General features: G+C 54.7%; 1 protein-coding gene across 24 annotated transcripts in view; it reads left to right on the forward strand.

The window, feature by feature from the left end:
- The window catches only part of MYO7A (myosin VIIA), an 86,996-nt gene that overhangs the window by 29,859 nt on the left and 32,629 nt on the right, over positions 1–24,508 (forward strand). For 22 of the 24 annotated variants that reach the window (XR_001747888.2, XR_001747889.2, NM_001369365.1 and 19 more), the window contains 17 exons: positions 173–326; positions 1,343–1,419; positions 2,059–2,178; positions 2,869–3,011; positions 4,016–4,226; positions 4,749–4,884; positions 7,952–8,058; positions 14,644–14,781; positions 16,652–16,810; positions 17,268–17,360; positions 19,445–19,539; positions 20,941–21,025; positions 21,631–21,849; positions 22,270–22,377; positions 23,276–23,485; positions 23,847–24,050; positions 24,320–24,496. Coding sequence is in view for 22 of the 24 variants with exons in the window: in NM_001369365.1 (NP_001356294.1) it covers positions 173–326; positions 1,343–1,419; positions 2,059–2,178; positions 2,869–3,011; positions 4,016–4,226; positions 4,749–4,884; positions 7,952–8,058; positions 14,644–14,781; positions 16,652–16,810; positions 17,268–17,360; positions 19,445–19,539; positions 20,941–21,025; positions 21,631–21,849; positions 22,270–22,377; positions 23,276–23,485; positions 23,847–24,050; positions 24,320–24,496 (2,436 nt within the window). In the remaining 2 variants the exon portion in view is untranslated. The remainder of the gene's footprint in view (positions 1–172; positions 327–1,342; positions 1,420–2,058; positions 2,179–2,868; positions 3,012–4,015; positions 4,227–4,748; positions 4,885–7,951; positions 8,059–14,643; positions 14,782–16,651; positions 16,811–17,267; positions 17,361–19,444; positions 19,540–20,940; positions 21,026–21,630; positions 21,850–22,269; positions 22,378–23,275; positions 23,486–23,846; positions 24,051–24,319; positions 24,497–24,508) is intronic. The other 2 variants (XM_047426971.1, XM_017017785.2) reach the window with 1 other exon arrangement.

Genomic DNA, 24,508 nt, shown 5'->3' on the forward strand with positions numbered 1-24,508 from the left:
TCCAGACTTTCTGGAGGAGTTGTGGTGCTCACCGGGTGAGGTCAGCGCCTGGGGCCCCGGGCTGGCCTGGCCTGTCAGGCAGAAAGGGCCTTTTGGGCAGGCAGCCAGGCACTGCCCCTCTGGGGGTACACTGACGTCCTCTTGCACCCCACTCTCCCACCCTGCCCACCAGGGTAACTGCATAACCTGTGAGGGCCGGGTGGACAGCCAGGAGTACGCCAACATCCGCTCCGCCATGAAGGTGCTCATGTTCACTGACACCGAGAACTGGGAGATCTCGAAGCTCCTGGCTGCCATCCTGCACCTGGGCAACCTGCAGTATGAGGGTGAGGCTGCGCCACACTCGCCCTGCCCCACCCCTGCGCCAAGGGCAGTGCAGTGCCTTGCTGCCCACGTGGTATTGGCAGCTCAGTTTCTGTCCTAGCACGTGCCCTCTTTGGGATGGAAGCTGGGAAGAATTCGCCTGTGGGTAGATTTGAACAGGTCTGCTAGATTGAAATCAGCGGTGGGTGTGGTGTCGCTGTGCTGACAGTCCACCACGGAGAGGTACAGTTAAAGTATATTGGGAGTTGTCTATGGACACTTTAAGACTCACTTCAAATTTGGTTTCTTCTTTAAAGTCACATGTCTTAGAGAGAGGGTAAATCTTTGAACTAATTCACTCTAAGGTGTGAGTGACTGGATAGCCATCTTTGGAAAGGGAGAAGGCTAGGGAAGGGAACGTGTTCACTCATCTAACATTCTTGGACACCCACTATGTGCCAGGCTGGGAGGTGATCCCCTGAGGCAGGTGGCAGGTCCCACTCTGCTCTTGCCCCTGATTCCCAGCATGGTCCCCAGGCAGAGTAGGAGCCCCAGGAAATGTGCCCAAGGAATGAATGATCCCAGCACTAAGGAGATCACAGTCTAGGCATCTTGAAAGACTAAGAGACACAGGGAAGGGTAAGCTGACAGCAGGAAGAGCTTGTGCAAAGGTCCTGAGAACAGAGCACATGTCGGGGAGGGGATCCAAAGCTTGTCTAACAGGAGCCAGGGCTGCTGCCAAGAGCCCTGGGAGTGGGGAGAGAGCTGCAATGGCCAGTGTCTATTCCTCGAATGCCAGGCATGGTGCCATGTGCAGGGCATACGTGGTCCCTACCCTCATGCTGCCTGCAGACTCATGGTGAGAACATTAATCAAATACACCTTGACCTGGGGAAGCATTTAGTCACAATGCTGATGCCCTCCCTGGACAGGGCAGGACCCCGGCAGCAGGAGTGGCAGCCTAGTCCTCTTAGGACTGTCCCCTTGCCCCTGTTGCCCACCCTCCCTCCCCTGATGCTGTGCCCCTTGCTGCCAACAGCACGCACATTTGAAAACCTGGATGCCTGTGAGGTTCTCTTCTCCCCATCGCTGGCCACAGCTGCATCCCTGCTTGAGGTCAGTGCCTGGCCTCTCTCCCCTCCATGACTTCTGTCCCTCTGAAGGGTTGAGTTTAAGCTCATTGGGGGCTGGGATGTAGGAACCACATTGCTGGGACCCTCTGGTTTGGAGAGTTCTGTTCAATATGGAGAAGCAACCATGTGCAGGTCCTGTGCTAGGCACAGGTCCTGAAGGAGCTTCTGTGGGTATGGCAGGGCAGGTGGGGGCCCTGTGATGCTCTGGGCTATGTGACCCTGGGTGAGTCATCCCTGCCCTCTGGGCCTCAGTCTCCACATCTGGGCAAAGGGCACTGGTGTCCCTGGGTCAAATGCATTGAGTCTGTCTGTCTTTTAGCAAACACTTATTAGGGTTGGAAAACTGAGATGAATAAAGCCAGAGTCAGGGCTGGTCCTAGAAGGGACAGGTGACATGCTGGAGGGAGTTAAGCGGGGCTGTCAAGGAGAGAGAAGTTCCTTCCAGGCAGCACTGGGGCAGGTTTCCATGGCTAGGGAGGATTTGGCCGTGGGCCCTGGGGCAGGCGTGCTTAGTGGAGGCAGTGGTCTGGGCCAGGCCAGTGCCGGAAAGTGGAGGGATCCGGGTGTGGGTGGAGGGAGGGGCAGGCTGGCAGGTGAGCACCTGGGGTGTTGCCTGTACCAGGTGAACCCCCCAGACCTGATGAGCTGCCTGACTAGCCGCACCCTCATCACCCGCGGGGAGACGGTGTCCACCCCACTGAGCAGGGAACAGGCACTGGACGTGCGCGACGCCTTCGTAAAGGTGGGCTGGAGGGAAGGGGCCGCTTGCTCGCCCTACCCCTTGGGAAGTTGGGCTCTTGATGGGCAGGTGCCAAGGAGTCCTGGGAGGTGGGTAGACATCTGGGTCGCCACCCCTGCCTGCCCCGGGGCTGCAGTCGGCCTTCCTTGAGTCCCAGGTGCCCATGCTCCTCTGGGGCCTTCCCAGCTCTGGCCGCCCCAGGCCCTTGGCTTTTGGCCTGCTTTGGTCAGCCATGTTGTTCCCAGCCCAGGGATACTCTCTTTGGTCTCTTTGCAGAAGACACAGAAGAGGGGATCTAGGTCAGGTCCTGTTTCTACAACCACACGTTTGCCATTCATCGAGCCTTCACCCACCACACCAGGCCCTGGGCTGGGTTCGGGGACCTCAGAGATAAACAGGGTTGGACATAGAGATGAGAGCCCCAAGGAGGGCTCCTTCCCCTGCTGCATGGTCAGGGAAGGCTTCTCCAAGAGGAGCTGTTATCTCAACAGAGCCTTGAAAAATGTGTAGGAACTGTTCAAGCAGGAAAAGGGGTCTCCAGGCAGAGGGAACAGCTCAAGTAAAGGGTTGGGGGTTTCACACGGCACTTTGTTCCACACAAGGGCTGGAGCGACACCACGAAGGGTCCAGGAGCCTGGCCTGTCCCCCGGGGGAGGGTGTGGCTGGTGCCAGTGGCTGATCACTGCCTTTCAGGGGATCTACGGGCGGCTGTTCGTGTGGATTGTGGACAAGATCAACGCAGCAATTTACAAGCCTCCCTCCCAGGATGTGAAGAACTCTCGCAGGTCCATCGGCCTCCTGGACATCTTTGGGTTTGAGAACTTTGCTGTGAACAGGTACCGCGTGGGGCTCTGCTCATGGGAATTTCCTTCCCCAATATGGAAATAAGAAATATCACGTCTCTCCCTTGCGAAGCACATTTAGTTGGCTCCTGGCACACTCTGCCAGGCTGTTCCGTCATCACGGTGGACCCTCTCCCTTTCCTTCCCATCCCCTCGTGTCCCTCACCTCCTCAAGGTCAGCTGAGCCTGGCTGGGGTTGTCAGGAGGCTGTACGCATCCTGAACACTTGGGGAGGAAACCTCTGGTCTCCAGGACCCACTGGCCACTGCCGATCTGCCCAGATCCATGCTGCAAGGCGCCTCAAAGCAGGGAGGCCAGGCCTGTGCCACGCTTGTGTTGGGGTCTCCGCCACCCTTGGGATTCTGTGCCTTTTAGGGGCCGTGTGAGGGACTGATGGGTGGTGTCACATACAGGCGGGTCCTGGAGCCCCACTTCCTGCTGGAAAGTCAGGACCTGGCAAGTCATATCAGTTCCCTTGCTGTTTGGATGTCTCAAAGCCCTCCAGCACCAAAACACCCACACTCAACATACTGGGCTGTGTCCGTGGCTCGGCCATGTCTGCAGCCAGGGCTCTGTTTCCCAAGTCTTGTCAACCCCCTTCCCACCTCCCAAGGCCACTTTTGATGTCCCTGTATGGCCCACCAGCCAGCCTCTGGGGTCTTTCTCTCCCAGGCATCTGCCTGGGGTTTGGGTGCCCACCTGCCAATCCCCAGCCCTCCCCAGGGCTTGATCATGCCAGGGAAAGAGTCCTGAAAAGCCTTAGCTCTCCTTCTGGCTCACAGAGTGACCCTAGGCAAGTCCTTTGCCCTTGCTGGGCCTCCGTGTCCTCCTCTGCACCTGGAGGGAGGTGGACTTGACAATTCCCCTCGCCTCTGAGTTTGGAGTCCATGATGGGGATAGCTTGCTAATGGCCATGCTGCAGGTGGAGGCAGAGCCAGGCCCTGAACAGCATGGTGGGGCCTGAACAACACCCTTACCCCATCCCTGTGCCCCTGCAGCTTTGAGCAGCTCTGCATCAACTTCGCCAATGAGCACCTGCAGCAGTTCTTTGTGCGGCACGTGTTCAAGCTGGAGCAGGAGGAATATGACCTGGAGAGCATTGACTGGCTGCACATCGAGTTCACTGACAACCAGGATGCCCTGGACATGATTGCCAACAAGCCCATGAACATCATCTCCCTCATCGATGAGGAGAGCAAGTTCCCCAAGGTGGGCCGGTCCTGCTGCCGCCTCCCAGGGTCTTGGGTGCGCACAGCTTCCTTCCCTGCTTTGAGCCCCGGCTTTCCTCATCTGCAAAATAGGACTAATGATACCCACCTCTCAAGTTGGCTCAGGGGCCAATTCAAGTATAGGCATCTGCCATTTGGGAATCACCTACAGTCCATGGGGTTCTGGGCCAGGCCATGAAGATCCATGCATGCAGTTGGCATGGAATGGGTACTCAGGACACAGTGTATATCTCAGAGTTGGGGAGGGGGAGAGGGGATTGCACCCATGATTTTAATCTTGGGAAATCGATTGTCTAAACTGGAATGCACTTTCAAAGTTGTGTAGTTCCAATTCATCCACTTAACAGATGGGGAAATGGGGTTCCAGAGAGCGCCTATGTGAGGTAGAAATAAAAGGAGGGGAAGCTCCTGAAGAAGAGACAGGGGGCAAAGACATGGGCAGGGAGGGGAGTGGGGCCCATGGAGGAGAGGGTGGGCTCACAGCTGCCCCTCCACTCCCCAGGGCACAGACACCACCATGTTACACAAGCTGAACTCCCAGCACAAGCTCAACGCCAACTACATCCCCCCCAAGAACAACCATGAGACCCAGTTTGGCATCAACCATTTTGCAGGCATCGTCTACTATGAGACCCAAGGTACAGAGGGCTGCCGGCTGTCTGTCACTCCCTGCCCGTGGCCCTGCCTTCCCCTGCTCCAGCCCAGGAATAAGATATCCGGAATTTTAAAGATTTTTAAAAATTGTGATTATTCATATATATATATATATGAACTTGACTAAAATGGCCAAGTGTTGGATTCAGTGGCACTAAGTACTTCACAGTGCTGTGCATCCAGTACTGCTATCTATTTCCAGGGCTTTCTCACCGCCCCAAACAGAGGCTCTGCAAGCATGGGGCAGTAACTCCTTCCCCTACCCCCGGCCCCCTGTAACCTGTGTTCTACTTTCTGTCTGTGAGTTTGACTATTCTAGGTACCTCATATAAGTGGAATCATATGCTATGGCCATACATCGTTTAACGTCATTTCTGAGAATGTGTCGTTAGGCAATTTGGTCATTGTCAATCATTGTAGAGTGTAGTTATACACCTAGATGGTCCAGCCTACTACATAGCTAGGTTATCTGGTATGGCCTATTGCCCTCAGGCTACAGACCTGTACAGCATGTTCTTGTACTAAATACTGTAGGCAGTTGTGACAGAATGGTAAGTATTTGTGCATTTAAACATAGAAAAGGTAAAGTAAAAATACGTCATTACCATCTTAGCCACCACTATTGTATCTGCAGTTGGCTGAGATGTCATTCTGTGGTGAAGACGTGACTGTATTTGTCCTTTTGTGTCTGGCTTGTTTCATTCAGCGTAATGTCTTTAATTTTCATCCACGTTGTAGCATGTATCAATTGCCCTCATTTTTATGGCTGAATAGTATTTCGTTGTGTGGATAAACCTTTTGTTTATCCATTTATCTGCTAATGGACTTTTGGGGTTGTTTCTACCTTTTGACTTTTGTGAATAGTGCTGCTCTGAACACTTGTGTACAAATATCTGTTCGAGTCCCTGCTTTCAATTCTTTTGGATGGGCTCAATGCTTGTTTGCACATTTAGGGAAACTGAGGCTCAGAACAAGGTGGGGGGGGCTTGACTGTCCTTACCTGATACAACATAGCCCATTAGGCTCAAAGTCAGGCCTCGAACCAGCCCAGTTACCCCCTAAGACTCTCAGCAACAAGACCAAGCATGAGCTTTGAAGACCGTGCATCTTCTTTTCCCCTGGGGACAGGCAATTGGGTTCACGTTAAAGCTGGAAGTTAAGAAGAGTGGTCAGAACACAGGCTTATCTCACCTGGAATTCTTAAGGGTTTGTCAAAAGACTGCAGACTGCCCTTGCCAATCCCTCCCCACCCACCCTGGTGTAAAGGGCCAACCACAAATTGGCATTAGTTATGGGCTGTGTCTACCCTGAGCCCTGCCATACAGCCTCAAGGGGTCCCATGCATAGTCAAAGGCCAATTAACCCATAAATATCTATACCTACTATGTACCACAAAAAATTAAAAATTAATTTTTTTTTAAAAAAGGCCAAAGATATCCAAACATGCTATAACCCATCCGTTTCTTACTCCGTTGCTGAACTGGTCCAGAAGTCAGCAGTGTATCAGTGAGCCAGGCTGCAGTGGTAGAATCTGATGGCGGCTCAGATTCCCTTACAATATTGGACTGTGAGATCCAACCTTATTGTTGGAAGAAGGAAGCAGACATTAAGTTTGAAGGACTGTCACGCAAACAAATTGGTCTTTCATTTGGAGTAATAGAGGATTGTATTTCTCAGTTCAGTTCAACCAATATGCTCTTAGCATCTATTATGTACCAGGCTTCATGACGTTGCTGAGGATACAGAAGTGAAAATTGAATAATCTCTATGCTGAGTTGTAAAACTATAGAACGCCAGGTCTGGAGGGAACATAAGGGTCATCTACCTTAATAGAATTGGTAACTGAAGCCCAGAAAGGGAAATGGCTTGCCTAAGGTTGTTAAACAAGACTAAATGACTGGAAAGAATTCTACCAGCATTTTCTAGTTCACAAAGAACCTTTTCAATACAGCGTCTTATTTATGATGTGGATTTATGAAGTGGGTGGTATTAGGTGTTCTGAAGAGAAGCAAGCTTGTAGGCACTATCCTTCCCATCCAACAGTTAAGGAAACTGGAGTCCCAGAATGGGGGTCTTTCTAGGATAACATAGTGAGTCTGTCAGAGCTTTAGTGAGAACCCAATTACATCCCAACTGCAAAGCCCACCCTCCATTCCTGTGTGTCCCCTGCAACTCGCCCCTCCCCAGGTGCCAGGCGGGCAGCCTAGCACTGGATCTCTGTGCTGTCCGCCATTCATGGGCAGCCTATGTCCTGCTCTGTGCAGTGGCACTCCCCCTCTGGCATCTGCAGTCCTTGGACACCCCGTCTCTTGCCCCACTCTACAACCCCCTCCCCATTAACCAGTTTCCAACTCCTCGGTCCCTGTGAGTGGCAGCCTCCTCTGGGGTCTGTGTGGTGCAGGGGAATCTCCCTAGGCTCCTGGGGATCCTGGGTTCTGGGTGCAGAGAATCTCCTTTGCACCAGCGTCCTGGGTTCAAGTCTTAACTCTGCCCATGGCTTACTGTGTGACATTAGACAACTCACTTAGCTTCTCTGAACATCAGTTTTCTCCCTTTGGGGGCAGAGGAGGTAATCCCTACCTGTCCCACATAGAAGGAGCTGTGAGGGGTCTTCATAAAACATAACACACTGTCCAACCACAAGGTGGTTTTAATGAATTCCTTTAATATTAGCTTGTACCAGATCAACATGCATTCTCTCCCAGGTGACACACTTACTTAACAAGGCCTTTTGATATCTTAGTTCAAAAGACTCATGGTAGCTTTGGGGTGGTTGGTCAGGAAGGAGGCCTGCTTTCTCCTGGAGACTGAGACCCCCCTGCCCTTCTTGAACAGGCCTGGAAGAGGGGAGCTGTGTCACTGGGGAGATGGCCCCTCACTTTCTCTATGATCTTGGGCAAGTCTCTGTCCCCTCCAGGCCTCAGGGCCCCCGTCATGAAATGGATGTGGTGGAACTAGGTGGATTTTGAGGGTCCTCCTGGCTCAGATGTTATGGGTTTGGGGAGGGCCTGCCAGAGCTGGTGAGAGGTGACTGCTGTTTGCTGCTTGCAGGCTTCCTGGAGAAGAACCGAGACACCCTGCATGGGGACATTATCCAGCTGGTCCACTCCTCCAGGAACAAGTTCATCAAGCAGATCTTCCAGGCCGATGTCGCCATGGTAAGCCGGGTGCGGTTTCTGTTGTTCGGGAAGGGCCCCCACGGGCCAGGCCTGAGTCTAAGCCCTGCCCTTGTCCAACAGCTTCAGCTGAGCCCCCTGGCCACATAATGGGTATGGAGCTTTGCTGTGGCTCCAGGAGGGGCCTGGAGGGGCCTCAAAGGTGTTCCCATCTGGTCCTCTTATTGTACTAACTGGGGATATGGCTGGGGTGCAAGGCCCAGAGAAGGGTCACCTGAGAGGTCACAGAGCAGAACCGGTCAGGGATCGGTTTACTGTGGGGGTTCACCCCCTGGAATCCAGCTGCTAAAGAGAGCATGGGCAGAAAGAGCACATCCAGCTTGAAGGATGTGGGGTGGGTGTGGATACTCAGAGAAGCTGGCACAGAGGGCATGTCTGTGCCAGCCCCAGACCCCATCAGACAGTGGGAGAACAGCCCCCTCCGCCTTTCCTTAGGCCCTAGGGTGAGGGTCTAGTGGATTTTTTCCTGCTGGGTTGCATGCCTTTTTATTTCATATTTTCCTCCTGTCCCATGGCTTCCTGGAGGGTGCATGAAGTCCTCACGCAGAAGACAGTCCTTGCCCCTTCCATGCCTGTCTAGGTGCCTGGCTGTCCCCTGCCCTCAGGACCACCAAGGCATCACAGAGCTTCCAGGACCCCAGACCTCTCCCTGAGGGTCCCCCTCTCTCCATGGTGGATTTTGAGTGGTTTTGTGACCCACCACATTCTCCTTGCCCCTCCTCTCCCCATCTCACCCTGCACCGTGGTTCCTGTTGTAGTTTCTCTGTGGTTATTCATCGGGTACTCTGCGCCACTCAGCAGCTGCTGCGAAGGTAAAAGACCCCAGCCCGGGGCTGAGGATGGCGGGAGAGGCCTCAGCGGCCTGGGTGGGGCTTGGTCCCGAGCTCCCACTGTGCTGAGACTCGGGAAAAGGGCTGGGCTTTTTCTCCTTTTTTTTGGAGTGTGTTTTTGTGTGGAGTGGTTTGTGGAGTGATTTTTGTGTTTGGTTTTTGAGTTGTGTGTGCTGCAGGCATTTCTTTCTTCAAGGAGGAAACTGAGTCCTAGGAGAGGGGCAAGGCTTGCCCAGGGTCCTCTGGGAACCGGGGACAGAGTGGGGACTCGAACGCAGGTCTCCTAAGGCCCCTTGGAGGCGTCAATCCCCGGTCCTTCCACCAGGCCCTGGTGGGCGCCTATGGCCATGCCTTGACCAGATCCTCAGATAACCTTGCAAGGCAGGAGGGACAGGTAGCATTTTCTGCATTTTGCAGATGAGAGACTGAGGCTGAGAGAGGGGATATGACTCATTCCAGGTAACAGCATTCTGACAGGGAGCTGGGACTAGGAGACACCATTCCCCGGACCTCCTTAGGTCTGAAACAGCAGCCCTGTTGCATCCTGAACTCTGGTTCAGGCCGTGGCTCCCACGGTGCTCTAGACCCCAAAGGTGCTGGGTACCCCTTAGCAACAGCATGGTGCTGCCAACCCCTTTGCCTCCTTTTCTCTCCTCAGCCCTCCATTTCCTCTCTGCCAAATACTGACATCCTTCCACTTTGGCCTGGTGCTGAGTCCTTCTTCCTTCCTGCCTGCCTGGCAGAGTTCTGAAACAATCCACACACCCCCAGCAGTAGACAGGGCATGTCAGGAGCAAGGAGCTTGTCTGGATGGTGGCCTCTCCCCTCTGCCCACAGATCAGCCCTGGAAGAACCTCCCGCCCCCACTCACCCTGACAGACCAACACTGTAGGCTGGCCGACTGCTGGGGTGCACACAAGGCCAACCTGAGAGAGGGGAGTCCCAGGCACTCGAAGCACTGGCACCCAGGAGAGTCCCCACCCGAAAGCCCTGTGCTGTAAGGTGGCTGTACTGCTGAGACGGGCGTAGCTCTGGCCTCTCCCACTCTTTCCTCTTCTCCTGTAGCCCTGCTGGCCCCTCGCTGGGCCCATCCATTCCTCCTGGTCTTGGGCATACTCTGGTTAAACCCCATCTTCCCCTCCTACCCGTTCTTCTCTCTCCTCTGTCTTTTCAAAGCTCCTTGAGGCATCTGGGAACACTCCATGATATTTCCTGCTCGAGTTTCCTACTCCTGGGATTAGAACCCACTTACTGAGAAATCATGGAGAGGTCAAAGTGCAGGAGCCCAGAGTCTCCAGAAATGGCCCCCTCCAGAAGAAGTTTTAGGAACAGAGAATTAGGATACAACAGTGACCAATCTGATACCAGTTACATCTACTGGGCACCTCTTCTGAGCCAGGCTATGAGCTAAGCACTTATATTTATCACCTCATTCACTCCCCACTGCAACCTGGCGAGTAATTACTATTACTCCCACTTTACAGGTGAAGAACTGGGGCCCAGGCTGGGTGTGGTGGCTCACACCTATGATCCCAGCACTTTGGGAGGCCAAGGCAGGAGGATTGCTTAAGGCCAGGAGTTCAAGACCAGCCTGGGCAACATAGTGAGACCCTGTGTCTACAAAAAAATTTAAAATTAGCTGAACATGGGGGTGAGCACTTGTAGTCACAGCTACTTGGAGTGGGGGCTGAGAAAAGACAATTCCTTGAGCCCAGGAGTTGGAGGCCGCAGTGAGTTGTGACTGTGCCACTGCACTCCAGCGTGGGTGACAGAGTGAGATCCTGTCTCTAAAATTTAAAAAAAGAAAGAAACTGGGGCCCAGAGAGGCCAAGGTGCTCACTGAGGTCACATACCTTGTGACACAACAGGGATTCGAGTGCAGGCCTGCCTCAGGGACTTGTCTAAGGCCATATACAAGCGAGGGCTAAAGTGAAGTTTTCCAAGTCCCTGCTTTTTAAAAAATAATTTTAATTTTTAAAAATTTACTGTGCTGTCTCCATAAACGTCACATCTTAGGAAAGAAAACATACTTCGTAACTGCTAGAAACACGATGGCTTTTTAAAAGGAAGATGAAAATCAGCTTGGTTAATTGTGAGACATTAAGTCACAGTTTATTCAATGACAGTGTACTAGTGTGGCAATGCTCCCATCAGGATGGAAGCCCACGCCACCTCTTGCAGTGAGTGATCTGCACTCCCATCATCGGCAGATCCCCGAGCCCTGAGTTTTCAGCCTTTGACTCCTACATCTGCCTCCCTGGGGCAGCCGTGGGCAGCCCCACCACAGCCCTTGCTGGTGAAGGGCCCAGCCCAGCTGTGATAAAGGCAGCTCTTCTAGGATATTGAGTAGCCCCTGATTAATGCCTAAGCCCAGTCATATGTCCTGGGGCCCTGAGCCCAAGAGACACCTATTCACTCTATGCAGGTGGCCTCCTGCCTGAGACTTCCCAGCCCCTTTCATGTCACGCTCTGGGGTCTTCCTCTCAGATCCTTTCTGGGGAGCATTTGACATTGGCCTTTGAACTTTTCACTTCCACCTTTACCCCATCCCCATCTGCAGATTATCCCAGAAAACAGCAAATACCAGGAAGGACAGCCTTTCCCCCCAATGAAATAAAACCAAATCAGAAACCCAGATGGCTACCTACAAACCTTTATTGAGTACCTACTATATGCCAGGCATTGTCATGGGTCTTGGGGACGTAGCAGTGAATAAAACAGAAAAAGTCTCTGTCCTTATGGAACTTAAGTTCCAGCAGAAGAGTGGATAGTTAGAAAGCCAAGGCCAGGTGAAGTGGCTCACACCTGTAATTCCAAAACTTTGGGAGGCCGAGGTGGGCAGATTGCTTGAGCTCAGGAGTTCAAGACCAGCCTTGGCAAAATGGCAAAATCCCATCTCTACAAAAAATATAAAAATTAGCTAGGCACAGTGGTACACACCTGTAGTCCCAGCTATTCAGGAGGCTGAGACAGGAGGCCGAGTCTGGGAGGTCGAGGCTGCAATGAGCCAAGATCGTACCACTGTGCTCCAGCCTGGGCGACAGAGTGAGACCTTGCTTCAAAAATAATAGTAAATAGATAGAAAGCCAATAAATAAGTAAAACCTGCAGTGTATCAGATGGTGAGATGTAGTATGGGGAAAGATTAAGGAGGGAGGAATGCGGCGGTGGGACTCTGTGATTTTCAGTGGTGTGGTGGGTGCGGTCAGGAAAGGCCTGCCTGAGAAGCTGAGCAGGAGGTGAGGAAGAATGTGCCCAGCCACATTCCAGAGGAAGGGCTTTGCAGGGAGAGGGGACAGCAAGCACAGATGCCCTGAGGTGCTTTGCAAGCCTATGCCTGCATCCCAGGTGCACCTCAGGCAGGGCAAGGAGGCTGGAGGGGCTGGAGGGGAGGGAACAGGTGTTACAAAGACCAGAGGCCCCTGGGACTAGCTCCTTTGGGGCACTGTGGGTCCCTACAAGGACCTGTGCCTTCATGCGAGTGAATCAAGGAGGCGGTGGAGGGTTCTGGGTGGGGAAAGGATGTGATTTTGTTCCTCACTTGGACTGCTGTGTTGAGAGTGTAAGGGTCCCAGGCACTCAAAGCTCCAGCACCCAGAAGAGTCCCTGTCTGAAGGCCCTGTGCTGTAGGGTGGCCACGCTGGTGAGACAGGTGTGGCTCTCGGCTGTCCCACTCTTTCCTCTTCACTAACTCCCCAGTCCCAGGGGAGGTTGGCCTGGAATGTGGGGGATGGAAGCAAAGAGACGAGTTGGGGGGTTGCTGCAGGAATTTGAGAGCAATGCTGGTGGCTGGGACCAGGCTGACGGTGGAGGAAGTGGTGAGGGGTCAGGTTCTGGAGATATTTTGAAAGTAGAGCCTGTAGGATTTGCGGATATATTAGATGTGACAGAAGAGGCACTGAGGACAGTTGCTAGATGTTTGGCTGGAGCAACGGGAAGGTGGGCAATTTCTGTGAACCCATGGATGTCACTAGGAACCAGTTCAACAGCACTTCAGTAGATCAAAGTGTTGACTGTTACTTGTGTCATGTAGGCCCTGGCCATGCAGCAATAAAGAGGCAGACGCATCCTGTCCTCATGGGGCTCCCAGCCCAGCAGGGAGGACGGGCAGAAAGCAGTCGTTTTATTGTGATGACCAAGACCAAAGAAGGGTGTGCGTGCGCGTGTGTGTACACGCGGTGGTATGCGTGTGCTCCTAGTGGCGTGTGTATGTGCATGCTGAGGTTGTGTGTGTGTTGTGTGTGTGTGTGTGTGCATGCGTATGCGTGTACTCATGTCAGGGGCCCTAATGCAGGCTGGGTACAGCCCAACTTGGACAGCTCCCCTCCAGTGACCGGGGTCACCCGGTGCTGCTGCTGGATCAAATTGAGGACAACGCCAGGGGCCACAGATCTGACCACCACCCTACCGCATTGCAAATACTCCCCAGCTTCTCTGGGCAAAGTCCTAGAATATATTCCAAATACAATGCAGTTGGAAAGCATTGCAGATTTCAGAATCGCAGGCACTGGCTCTTTCTCGGAAGGCCTCATCACAGTCTGGTGGCATAGTACCTAAATTGAGTATGAGCACAACACCTTTGTCCCCCCAAATACCTCACATATCTACATCTACACCCCTGGTTTTTGATGCTACAGGATATCAGATGAAATGATGACTCTAAAAATATAAAAATCTTGCAATATTAATCAAATGAAGTCAAGTAAAATAAGAAATTCTCAACCAAATGAAAATTGCCAGGAAAACACTAATCAAGATGCTTTGGAACAAAACCTAAGCTCTGTGTCCAGTTCCCATCAGTCCTGCCATTTGGCTTCCTGTTTGTTTGCGGCTCAGGGCTTCCCCCACCTCATTTCACAGTATTCTCAGAGGGGACCCCAGTAGGGCAGGGAGGCGCAGGGGGCTCGCTGGCTGCCAGGATCGCCCAGGTGTGGCTGGTGGAGCACAGAACCCCTGGCTGCGTCGGAGCCACAGTGCGGGGGGTTAGGAGGAGGCTGCTTGTGTGCCTTCTTAGGAGGATTAGCCAGGCCTGCCCCGCCCCCAGCCTGCTGCTGCCGGCTAAGCCTGGGAGGGGAGAGGTCACCGGCAGCTCCCGCCCCTCCTCCTCGCGCTTGCCCACAGGTTTCCAGAAGGCGGCACCACCTTTCTAGGTTGCTGTTTACTGAAATATGCCCTGACCTCTGACCCTTGTCACAGCCTGGTCAGATGGATAGATGGCATCACCTCCACTTAGGAAACTGAGGCTCTGCAACATTTAGTGACCTGCCCAAGGGCACACAGCTAGGAAGTGGTGGGCCAGGGCTTGAATCTAGGTTCGTCTAACCCCTGTCTCTAGAGATGACCTCAGTGTCCTGAGGTGACCAAGTCCGATTACTCCTTTATACAGGGAAGGGAGGGATGAGACTCAGGGGCTGCCCCTTGCTCAGAGTTATCCAGCGCACCAGGTGCAGGGGCAGGCTTGAGACTCCCAGTGCGGAGATCTTCCTGTAGGGTTCACTTCCCCCTCGCCCAGAGGTGGTAACTTTGGAAGTCCTGGGAGGCTTCCTGGAGGAGGTATCTGGAGTCCAGGCTCCAGCTCAGAAGGTGGGGAGAGGCAGTTTGCAGGAAAACTTCAAATACCGCCCTGTCCCTCAAACCCTGACCCCGCTGACCTCCCCTCCCGCTTCCTACTGGGCGGCTCCTGGGACACTGGATGGGGCAGGCACAGCCCCTCCCATCGCTGCCGTCCGTCCCCCCAGGGCGCCGAGACCAGGAAGCGCTCGCCCACACTTAGCAGCCAGTTCAAGCGGTCACTGGAGCTGCTGATGCGCACGCTGGGTGCCTGCCAGCCCTTCTTTGTGCGATGCATCAAGCCCAATGAGTTCAAGAAGCCCATGGTGAGTGGCCCTGGCCTGGGGTTGGCGGGTGGCGGCTAGGGTGACGTGGAGGAGCTAGGTCAAGAATAAGGTAGGGTGGGAGTGAAGGATGTGAGACTTTGTCCCTTTGGGGAATGGGGGGCACCCCGGGAGCTTACAAAACAAGGCCCCCTATTTATTGGAGGCAGCAGGTGCCTTGGAAAGAGCCTAGACTCTGCGGGGGGTTGCAGCAGGTTCAGATCCTGCCTCTACCATGTACAAGTGGGCGACTGCAGACAAAGCAGTTTCTTCTCTTATGCCTCAGTTTCCTCATAGATGGAAACGGGACTGACCGTATCTACCTCCTAAGGCTATTCCATGCAGTAATGCTTGCAGATGCCCACACCCAGCAAGTGCCCAGTGATTGGCAGCTGTGGTTCTTGCTGGGGCTGCTTCTTTGAAAGTCCCCTTCTCCTTTGGCCCAGCTCAACCACCACCTCCTCCTGGAAGCCTCCCCCATCTCTTCAGCTGGTTGGGATATCCTCATTCTTGACTTTTCTGAATAACATTTGTTGGGCCCTTTCTGTGTGCCCAGCATAGGCTGGATGGTCAGTCCACAGCCTCCTTCAACCTTCTCAAACAGCCCGTGAGAAAGGGACTGTGCTGGTCCCAGGTTAGAGATGCGGGACTGGGGGCTCAGGGAGGTTAAGGGGCTCAGGCTGGGGCCACCTCGCTGCGAGCCCTCTCCTTTCGCAGCACAGGCTCTGGGAGGGTTGTTTACCCAGAGGCCTGCAGGGAGGCACAGGGGGAAGCTGGGGCCTCGGGATCTGGGGAGGGAAGGAAGGCCGGGGAAAGTGGCCCGGAGAGAGAGGAAACAGTCTCCGGAAGCTGACAGGCTGCAAGACCGTCCCCTCCTGCTGCCTCCTGCCTGGAAAACATGTCCCAGAGTGGATGAGGCCTGTCCCCTTTAGGACTCAGGTCTGCAGGGGCCTGAGGGTCGCAGAGGGCTCCAGTGAGCTCTCCCTCTAATGCAGGGGGTGCAGGGGACTGACACCAGGGCAGTCGGGCACAGTCTTCCCTGGCTCTGAAGTGGGACCCTTCCCTCGGCCCAGTCCTCAGCATCTGTGGACTGGGCCTTGGCAATAGCCTCCTCAAGGGTCTCCTGCCTCCCTTGCCTCCTGTCCTGCCTCCCCTGGCCCCCAGTGACATTGTTCTCAAATGCAGACCTGGCCCAGTCTCTCCCTGCTCTAAAACTTCCCTGGCTTCCAGCATCCATGGATGAGGCCCTCACAGAGCCCCACAGCCTCACAGCCCAGCACCTGCCTTCTACTCTTTCTCCCCAGCCCCTCCACCAACCAAACCCCAGGGCCCTTTGAAAAATGTGCCTCTTCCTTAAGGCAGCTAGAAAGTTGTCTGAATAACCGCAGATCTACAATACCTGCAACGTGAAAGGTCCTCCCTGGGGCTGTGCAGAGCACCCCTCACCTGCACAGCCATAACTTGGCCTGGACGAGCCTCTCTAGCTCCCTCAAGATTCCCAGCAAAGTCCTGCGCTTTCAGGCTTCCAAACCTTTGCACAGGCTCACCCCCTCCAGCCTTGGAATACTCCCCCTCCTGTCAGGGTTAGGGTGATAAAGACGCCTCCTCCATGAAGCTCCCCACTTGGGTGTCCCAAGGGGAATTAATCTGTCTTCTCTGTGCTCCCAAAGCACACAGCTCCACCACGACAGGCCTCACTTTATGCTCTTTTGTGGATTTGAGCTGCAGATCCCGGTGCCTGTCCCAGCTTTGCTCCTCCCATGCCGTGTGGACTTGGCCTTTCTGAGCCTTTGTCTGGGTTGGTCAAGTGCACAGCAGGGCTGCCTCCCAGCAGGAGCCTTGGCCCTGATGCCCTTGGCTGTGTGCCTGGCAGCTGTTCGACCGGCACCTGTGCGTGCGCCAGCTGCGGTACTCAGGAATGATGGAGACCATCCGAATCCGCCGAGCTGGCTACCCCATCCGCTACAGCTTCGTAGAGTTTGTGGAGCGGTACCGTGTGCTGCTGCCAGGTGTGAAGCCGGCCTACAAGCAGGTACAGGGCTGAGTGCACAGAGGGCAGGAGGGGAGGGTCCCAGCTTTGGCTGGGCAAGGGTCCCAATTTTCTTATCAGGACCATGGGCGGGGCTTGACATCTGCTTGACCTCTCAGGTGCAGCACGGAAAATTGGGGTTCAGGTATTGGAATGCATCAGTGGGCTTCAGTTGCCATGTTCAGCTGGTGAGGACTTCACACATGGTGGTGTAAGGAACAAGACCAGGGCTGCCACGCGGGCCCTGGATGTCAGTTGTGAGAAAGGGTTTTGCAATCATACCATCCAGCTGAGCTAAGGAGAAAACTGGGGCTCAGAGAAGGCAGGACCCAGCTGAGGTCACACTTCGAGTCAGGGGCAGAGCTCGGGAAGAGCCCTGCCTCTCAGCCTCGGGGACACTCCGGAGGCCTTCCCACTGGAGAGGCTGTCCATTCCCTTGTGTTCCCCATCCTCACTCCAGGGCGACCTCCGCGGGACTTGCCAGCGCATGGCTGAGGCTGTGCTGGGCACCCACGATGACTGGCAGATAGGCAAAACCAAGATCTTTCTGAAGGTGAGCACAGATGCCTTCCCTGGGCTGCCCTGGGGGGGCTGTAAATTCCCATGATGTGGGCTGGGGTGCTCGGGAGAGGGAGGCAGTGCTGGGGCTTTGAGATCCTTTCTGCCGGGCTGTGGTGTGGCTGGAGGAGCAGGTGGGATCTGGCCTCTCTGGTGGGGAAGGGTAATTTGGTGTTTGAGATCATCTACAACCTGGGAGTGGGGTCAGAGCACTGACCACAGGTTACAAAGCACATGCCAGGGGCGGGCTGGCTGTTAGGCCCACAGCAGGGAGGCAGGGGTGCTGCTTGCCTTGGGGCCCTTTCTGAGCCTCATTTTCCCATCTGTAAATTGGGGTGTGCCTGTGTGGGGTCTCTTGAGTGTATCTTTAGGTTCCTTCCTGTGGTTTCCTGCCTGGCAGGGCCCATCCCGTGCTGGGGTCCGCAGCATGCCACCTGTCCGTCACTCTGTAGGGAGCTCAGCTCCCATTGCTGCCTGGGCAGCTGGGGAAGGAAGCAGGAAGCAAGGCCTGCGGGAGTCGCGGAGTCACAGCCTTGGAGACATGGCTGGGAGCTGGCAGTGGCAGGGCAGCCGCAGCAGGGACAGTGCGAGCTCCCAGTGCTGGGCTTCCCCATTTGCATTTCCGCTGTGCTAGATTTCTGGCTGTCCCGGATGACAGGGCTCCTTCCTCTGGTGTGGGGGGTGGGGCCTGGGCACTCCAAGGACAGCTGCAGGAGGGACAAGAACCAGCTCCGAACTGGAGGGAGCCTGCGGCCTCTTCTAATTCCTCTCCAGCCAAGGGGCTTCAGGCTAGGCCCTTTCTCTCCTTGCACCTGCATTTCCTCATCAGCAAGATGTGATGAATGTTCCCTGCCTGTGCCTCCCACAGCTGTCAGCCAGAAAGCACATTCCATGTGCCAGGCCCTGGGTGGGTGCTTTTCATCCATGAGCTCATTTAATCCTTGAAACAGTCCTGTGGAGAAGGAAATATTATACCCATTTCACAGGCTCAGAGAGAAGTGAGTTGCCTGAAACCAGGCAGCTAGGAAGCAGGGAGCAGGACTTCTAGTCTGGGAAGGTCTGATGCCCAGCCCCTGTGTGGGCAAAGTGGGGAAGGCAGGAATCATGATGGCATCTAGTACCAGGGAACTCGGAGGAGCTCCATCAGCCCCTGACTTACACTGCTAGGCTCTTCCGATATGGCCTTGGTTTTGAGAGGCCAAACATGCTCATTCATCCATTCATTCATTCAGAATGCCTCGGCTGAGCATCTCCTCTGTCAGGGCCCTGTGTGTCTGTGATTATCTGATGGATTTGGCTCCCTCATGAGACTCTACCCTCCCCAAGGGCAGGGGCCATGTCTCCCTGGTTCATTGTGGCAGCCCCTCCCCTCCCCAGCATCTAGCACAGTGCCAGCACATGGAGGTGTTCAATTCATATATATTAAGTGAACCAATGAAGTTTTGTCCAACTACAGTGAGGGTTGGGGTCTTGGATGAGGAGGAGAGAGGGCTGAAAAAGTTGGCAGACACCCTGGATCATGGGTGGCCTTGAATGCCAGGGTGAGGAACCCAGGCTCGACGTGGGGAACCATGAGGTGTCACTGTAGGGTCACCATCCAGGTTGTGTTGAGGAGGGTCCCTCTGGCTGCTTGTGAAGGAGCGCCAGAGAGGGAGCCAGGAGGCCGCGAGACCTTTAGTTAGGAGGCTGCTGCCAAGGTTCGGGAGAAGAATGGCAACAGCCCAGCCCAGGTGAGGGACTGATGTGACAGGGACGTCTAGAAGCAGGGGGCTTGGGCAGATTGACGATAGGGAAGAAGCTGGTGTGTGTGCATACTGGGCCTTCCGACCCCATCCAGAGAGATTAGGCACCTTCTGCTCCATTTGTCCTGCCTGGACCTCTGGGAAACAGCCACAACCCCTGTCTGTCCTGGTGGCTGTGGGAGGCTGCCCCAGGGGCCAGAGCCAGCTGGGAGCTCATGGGGCCCAACTGAGTTCTTGACCTGTGCTCCCAGTGAAGGAAGAGCAGCCCCCACTGGGACTGAGCAGGTGGTCCTAGAGGAGACCTTGTGGGGCGCTGCTCAGGAGCTCTGCCTCCTAGGACCACCATGACATGCTGCTGGAAGTGGAGCGGGACAAAGCCATCACCGACAGAGTCATCCTCCTTCAGAAAGTCATCCGGGGATTCAAAGACAGGTGCGTGTTCCCACCAGCTCCTCCCCTCCTCAGCCCACATACAGGTGTACGTGTGGTGTTTGGCTCTCCTCTGCTCTGCCCGCATGAACACTAGGAAAAAAACGTGTTCACCTATGAAACAAGTGCACACATGCATGGCATGCACACATGATCATGTAAACACAGAGGAACATAGATACATGATTTACATGGACCCATTGTGCCACGTAAGCCAAATAATGCAATACATTCACCTACATATGCACATGCACACGTAGATACATGAGACTCACATGTGGACCCACTGTTCATGTCAGATGCTGATGAAATTTTGCAAAGAGGAAATTTGAGATTTTATAAATTATTAATACAAAATGTGTCTCATATTCTATCTAAGGGATATGTGTACACGTGACAATTCACAAATGTGCAGGACTGACTCCAAAGTGTGATTAAAGCTCTGCAAAAATTCCACAATGCACCCCTTTGCAGTTCATATGGTCACTCTCTCCCTTCTTCCACTCGTCCACCCACCTACCTATCCATCCGTCCGTTCACCCACCCACCTACCCATCCATCCATCCATCCATCTGCCCACCTATTCACCCATCCATCCATCCATCCATCCACCCGCCCACACACCCACCTAGTCACTCATCCATCCACCTATCCACCCACACATTCATCCATCAATTCACCCACCAACCCATCCACCATCCATCCATCCACCCACCCACCCATCCATTCACTCATCAGTCCACCCACCCATCCACCTACCCATTCATTCCTCCATTCATCCATTCACCCACCCACTCCCACAGTTGCTCATTTGCTTATGTGTGTCTCCAAGCATTGACTTATTGGCTCACTTGCATACTTGCACACCCATCCTTCGCTCTTCCTTTATTTATTTCTACATTCAGCAGACCCCTGCTGTCTGTGCATGGTCTCTGTCCTCTATCAGGCTGAAGATGACTGTTCTCCTATAGAAGCAGCCTGCTGTGTGCAGGGGGAACAGCACTGGGCTCACTTAGGGTCAGTCAGAAGACATGGGCTCTAGTCCCAACCTATCAAGTCTCAGTTGCCTCATGTATAAACTGAGGAAGTTAGACTGTTCAAAGCTTTTGATCTTTATATTATTTTAATTACTTATTTTTTCATACATTTATTCATTCAACAAATACCTTTTGAATGTCTACCTTCATGGGCTTATGTGACAGGCCTGTGGGGCAGGCAGGGCAGGCATTATTCTACACATTGTACGGATGAGGAAGCTGAGGCACAGAAGTTATGTGCCTTGCCCAAGGTCATATAGCTAGGAAGTCACAGAGCTGGGACTCAGCGTGCCCTCCTGATCCCAAACCCACCTGTACCCTGGCTGCCTCTGGACACTGCTCACCCGCGCCACTACTGCTGTTTCAGGTCTAACTTTCTGAAGCTGAAGAACGCTGCCACACTGATCCAGAGGCACTGGCGGGGTCACAACTGTAGGAAGAACTACGGGCTGGTGAGCCTCCCCATGGGCTGCTCTTGCCCAAACAGGCCTTTGAACCCAGCCTTGCTGCCATGGCAGTGGGACTGGCCTGCACCCAGGCAGCACAGCCTGGCCTCGTTGGCCTCCTGCCACTGCCCTGGCCAGCCACTACCATTCCTCCAGACCGAAGTCTGGATCTGGCTCTTGTGGCTTCTTCCAACTGGCCAGCAATGTTTGTTGCTCTCCTTCTGGAGTGTTTTTGGGGGTTGGGAGCACTCTGGGATTATTAGAGATCTCAGACAGGGTGAGAGTGGCTGGGTCACATGGACCTCTGTGCAGCAGCTGGGCTTAGGACTTGTTGGGGCTGGATGGGAAGCAGACTGGTTGGTTGCAGCTCCTGATCTAGGATTCTCTTGGGGGCCCCAACTCAGGGAGAGTCAAGGTCACCTAAAAATATGTTGCCTGAGAGGAAACAGAACTTTCTAACGATGGGGGGGCACTAATCTGAGAGGAGACTGGGCCACGCCTTCTGGGGGTGCCTGTCTGAGAGTGGAGGCCGGTGCCATGGAAGCTCCTGCAGGCAGGGTCAGTCTGGAATGGGACAGCAGGCTCTGAGCATGGGGTGGCTGTCCTTGCAGATGCGTCTGGGCTTCCTGCGGCTGCAGGCCCTGCACCGCTCCCGGAAGCTGCACCAGCAGTACCGCCTGGCCCGCCAGCGCATCATCCAGTTCCAGGCCCGCTGCCGCGCCTATCTGGTGCGCAAGGCCTTCCGCCACCGCCTCTGGGCTGTGCTCACCGTGCAGGCCTATGCCCGGGGCATGATCGCCCGCAGGCTGCACCAACGCCTCAGGGCTGAGGTGAGGGAGCAAGTCCATAGCACCCACAGCTCTGACCCCTGGGCGAGGAGTGTCCATGCATCACCCTCAGGTGTTGGCCAGGAAGTGGGACCTATAGGGGGGACCTGCAGTTATGCCTGCTCTGAGGAGTGCACATACCTGGGACCAGACCCTCATTTCCATCCTCTCAGCCAAGGGCAGGGCTGGGACCTCAGTCACTCTTGGGAATCTCTGGGAGACCGACGCAGATCTGGCCGGGCTTTAGGATCAGTGGTGCCTCCAGCCCGCTGGGTGACCTAGAGAATTTCTTGATTACCTCACTTGTCCTATCAAAGTCATGCCCAGTTCCAGAACTCAGAGTTGGGTGGGTGGAGCTGGTGGGAATCCCTGCAACAACAGCTACACACATTTCCATGCCCTCTGGATGCCCCCTTCCCTCAGTATCTGTGGCGCCTCGAGGCTGAGAAAATGCGGCTGGCGGAGGAAGAGAAGCTTCGGAAGGAGATGAGCGCCAAGAAGGCCAAGGAGGAGGCCGAGCGCAAGCATCAGGTGAGCTGAGAGCCTCCAGGCACCTTAGGTGTCCACTTGCTGGCTTGTCCCCTCCCCGAGGCTGGCTTCTCATCTGTCACCCGGTGCTGCAGCCTTCCTTCCATCCTTCAGAATGGCCACACTAGACCCACTCAGCCAGCATTGCCTGAGCTCTCGCTGGGCACCTGGTCCTGTGCCATGCAAAAGGATGAAGGGCTGTGGTGGCTCCAGAGGAAGAGGCCCAGGCCCTCAGCAGCCCCTTTCTAGTTGTTGAGATAACACCCTGGTAAAAGCACAAGCCAGCTGACGGCACGAGGGTGCTACACTGCCCAATAGAGAGCCACCAGCCACAGTGGCAACTGAACACTTGCAGTGTGGCCTGTCCGAATGACACAGTGCTTTAAGTGTGAAATACTAGATTTTGAAGATTTGGTGGGGGAAAAATGAATATAAAATATCTCAGTATTATTTTTATAATATGGATTACATGCTAAGTTAATATTTGGGAAATATTGAGTTAAATATACTGCTAAGACTAATCCCACCTATTCCTTTTTGCTTTTTAAAACGTGGCTACTATATGGGTGGCTCACATTGTATTCCTATTGGGCAACACTGGTCTAGAGCCTCAAGCCAATGGCCGTGGGATGTCTGGGTTGGTGTGGTCCCCATGGAGCAGGCTCCTGGAGGAGGTGGCTCCCTGAGAGCCCTGAAGGACGGGCAGGATTGTTATTTGGCTTGTTGAGAGGCCTCTGAGTGGTCCAGAGGTGGGGAAGTCAGAGGCTCCATTCTTCCCAGCGGTCAGGAGGTGGGGACTGAGGCCCTGGCTGCTGCAGGGGCTCCCCAGGGAGAGCTTGTTCCCTGAGGCTGTGGCACCGGGGGCTGACCCCGTGTCTTCTGTGTCACCCCAATTGCCCAGGAGCGCCTGGCCCAGCTGGCTCGTGAGGACGCTGAGCGGGAGCTGAAGGAGAAGGAGGCCGCTCGGCGGAAGAAGGAGCTCCTGGAGCAGATGGAAAGGGCCCGCCATGAGCCTGTCAATCACTCAGACATGGTGGACAAGATGTTTGGCTTCCTGGGGACTTCAGGTGGCCTGCCAGGCCAGGAGGGCCAGGCACCTAGTGGCTTTGAGGTACCAGGCTAGGGACAGGGGCTCCAGAGGCCCACACACACCGCTTGTGTTGATCCTCCCTCCTTCTGTGCCCTTGGCCTTAAAGCCCACCCAGTCCCTCTGAACAGTGGGGAGCAGAGATGAACTGGGTCCGGGCTGCAGGTCCCAGGTCCTGTCCCTCTCCAACGCCCTTCTCAAGTTTTTTTTTTTGTTTTTTTTTTTTTTTTTTTTTTTGAGATGGGGTCGTACCCTGTTGCTCAGGCTGGAGTGCAGTAGCGTGATCACAGCTCACTGCAGCCTTGAACTTCTGGGCTCAGGCGATCCTCCCACCTGAGCTTCCTGAGTAGCTGGGACTCCAGGGCATACCTCTTGTCTCCTTCAGGACCTGGAGCGAGGGCGGAGGGAGATGGTGGAGGAGGACCTGGATGCAGCCCTGCCCCTGCCTGACGAGGATGAGGAGGACCTCTCTGAGTATAAATTTGCCAAGTTCGCGGCCACCTACTTCCAGGGGACAACCACGCACTCCTACACCCGGCGGCCACTCAAACAGCCACTGCTCTACCATGACGACGAGGGTGACCAGCTGGTAAGGCCTGCCTGTCACTAGGTCACTGCTGGGTGGGGCCAGGGCTGGGGCTATGGACTCTGCTGCTGGTGGTGGCCGTAGGTGATGAGGGTGGTGGGTCCCTGGGGGCCAGGGACCAGGTCTGACTATAGTCTTCACTGCGGTGCCCAGCCTGAGGGCTGACCATGCGGGAGGGGGTGTCTCCAGCCCACTCCCCAAACCGCCAGGTCATTTTGACAGCTTTAGCAATGTCCTCCGCTCTGGCCTCTGACATGCGCGCTCTGCCCCAGGCAGCCCTGGCGGTCTGGATCACCATCCTCCGCTTCATGGGGGACCTCCCTGAGCCCAAGTACCACACAGCCATGAGTGATGGCAGTGAGAAGATCCCTGTGATGACCAAGATTTATGAGACCCTGGGCAAGAAGACGTACAAGAGGGAGCTGCAGGCCCTGCAGGGCGAGGGCGAGGTGAGGCCAAGG

This window comes from Homo sapiens, chromosome 11 (assembly GCF_000001405.40).
Source record: "Homo sapiens chromosome 11, GRCh38.p14 Primary Assembly".
Taxonomy (NCBI): Eukaryota; Metazoa; Chordata; class Mammalia; order Primates; family Hominidae; genus Homo; species Homo sapiens.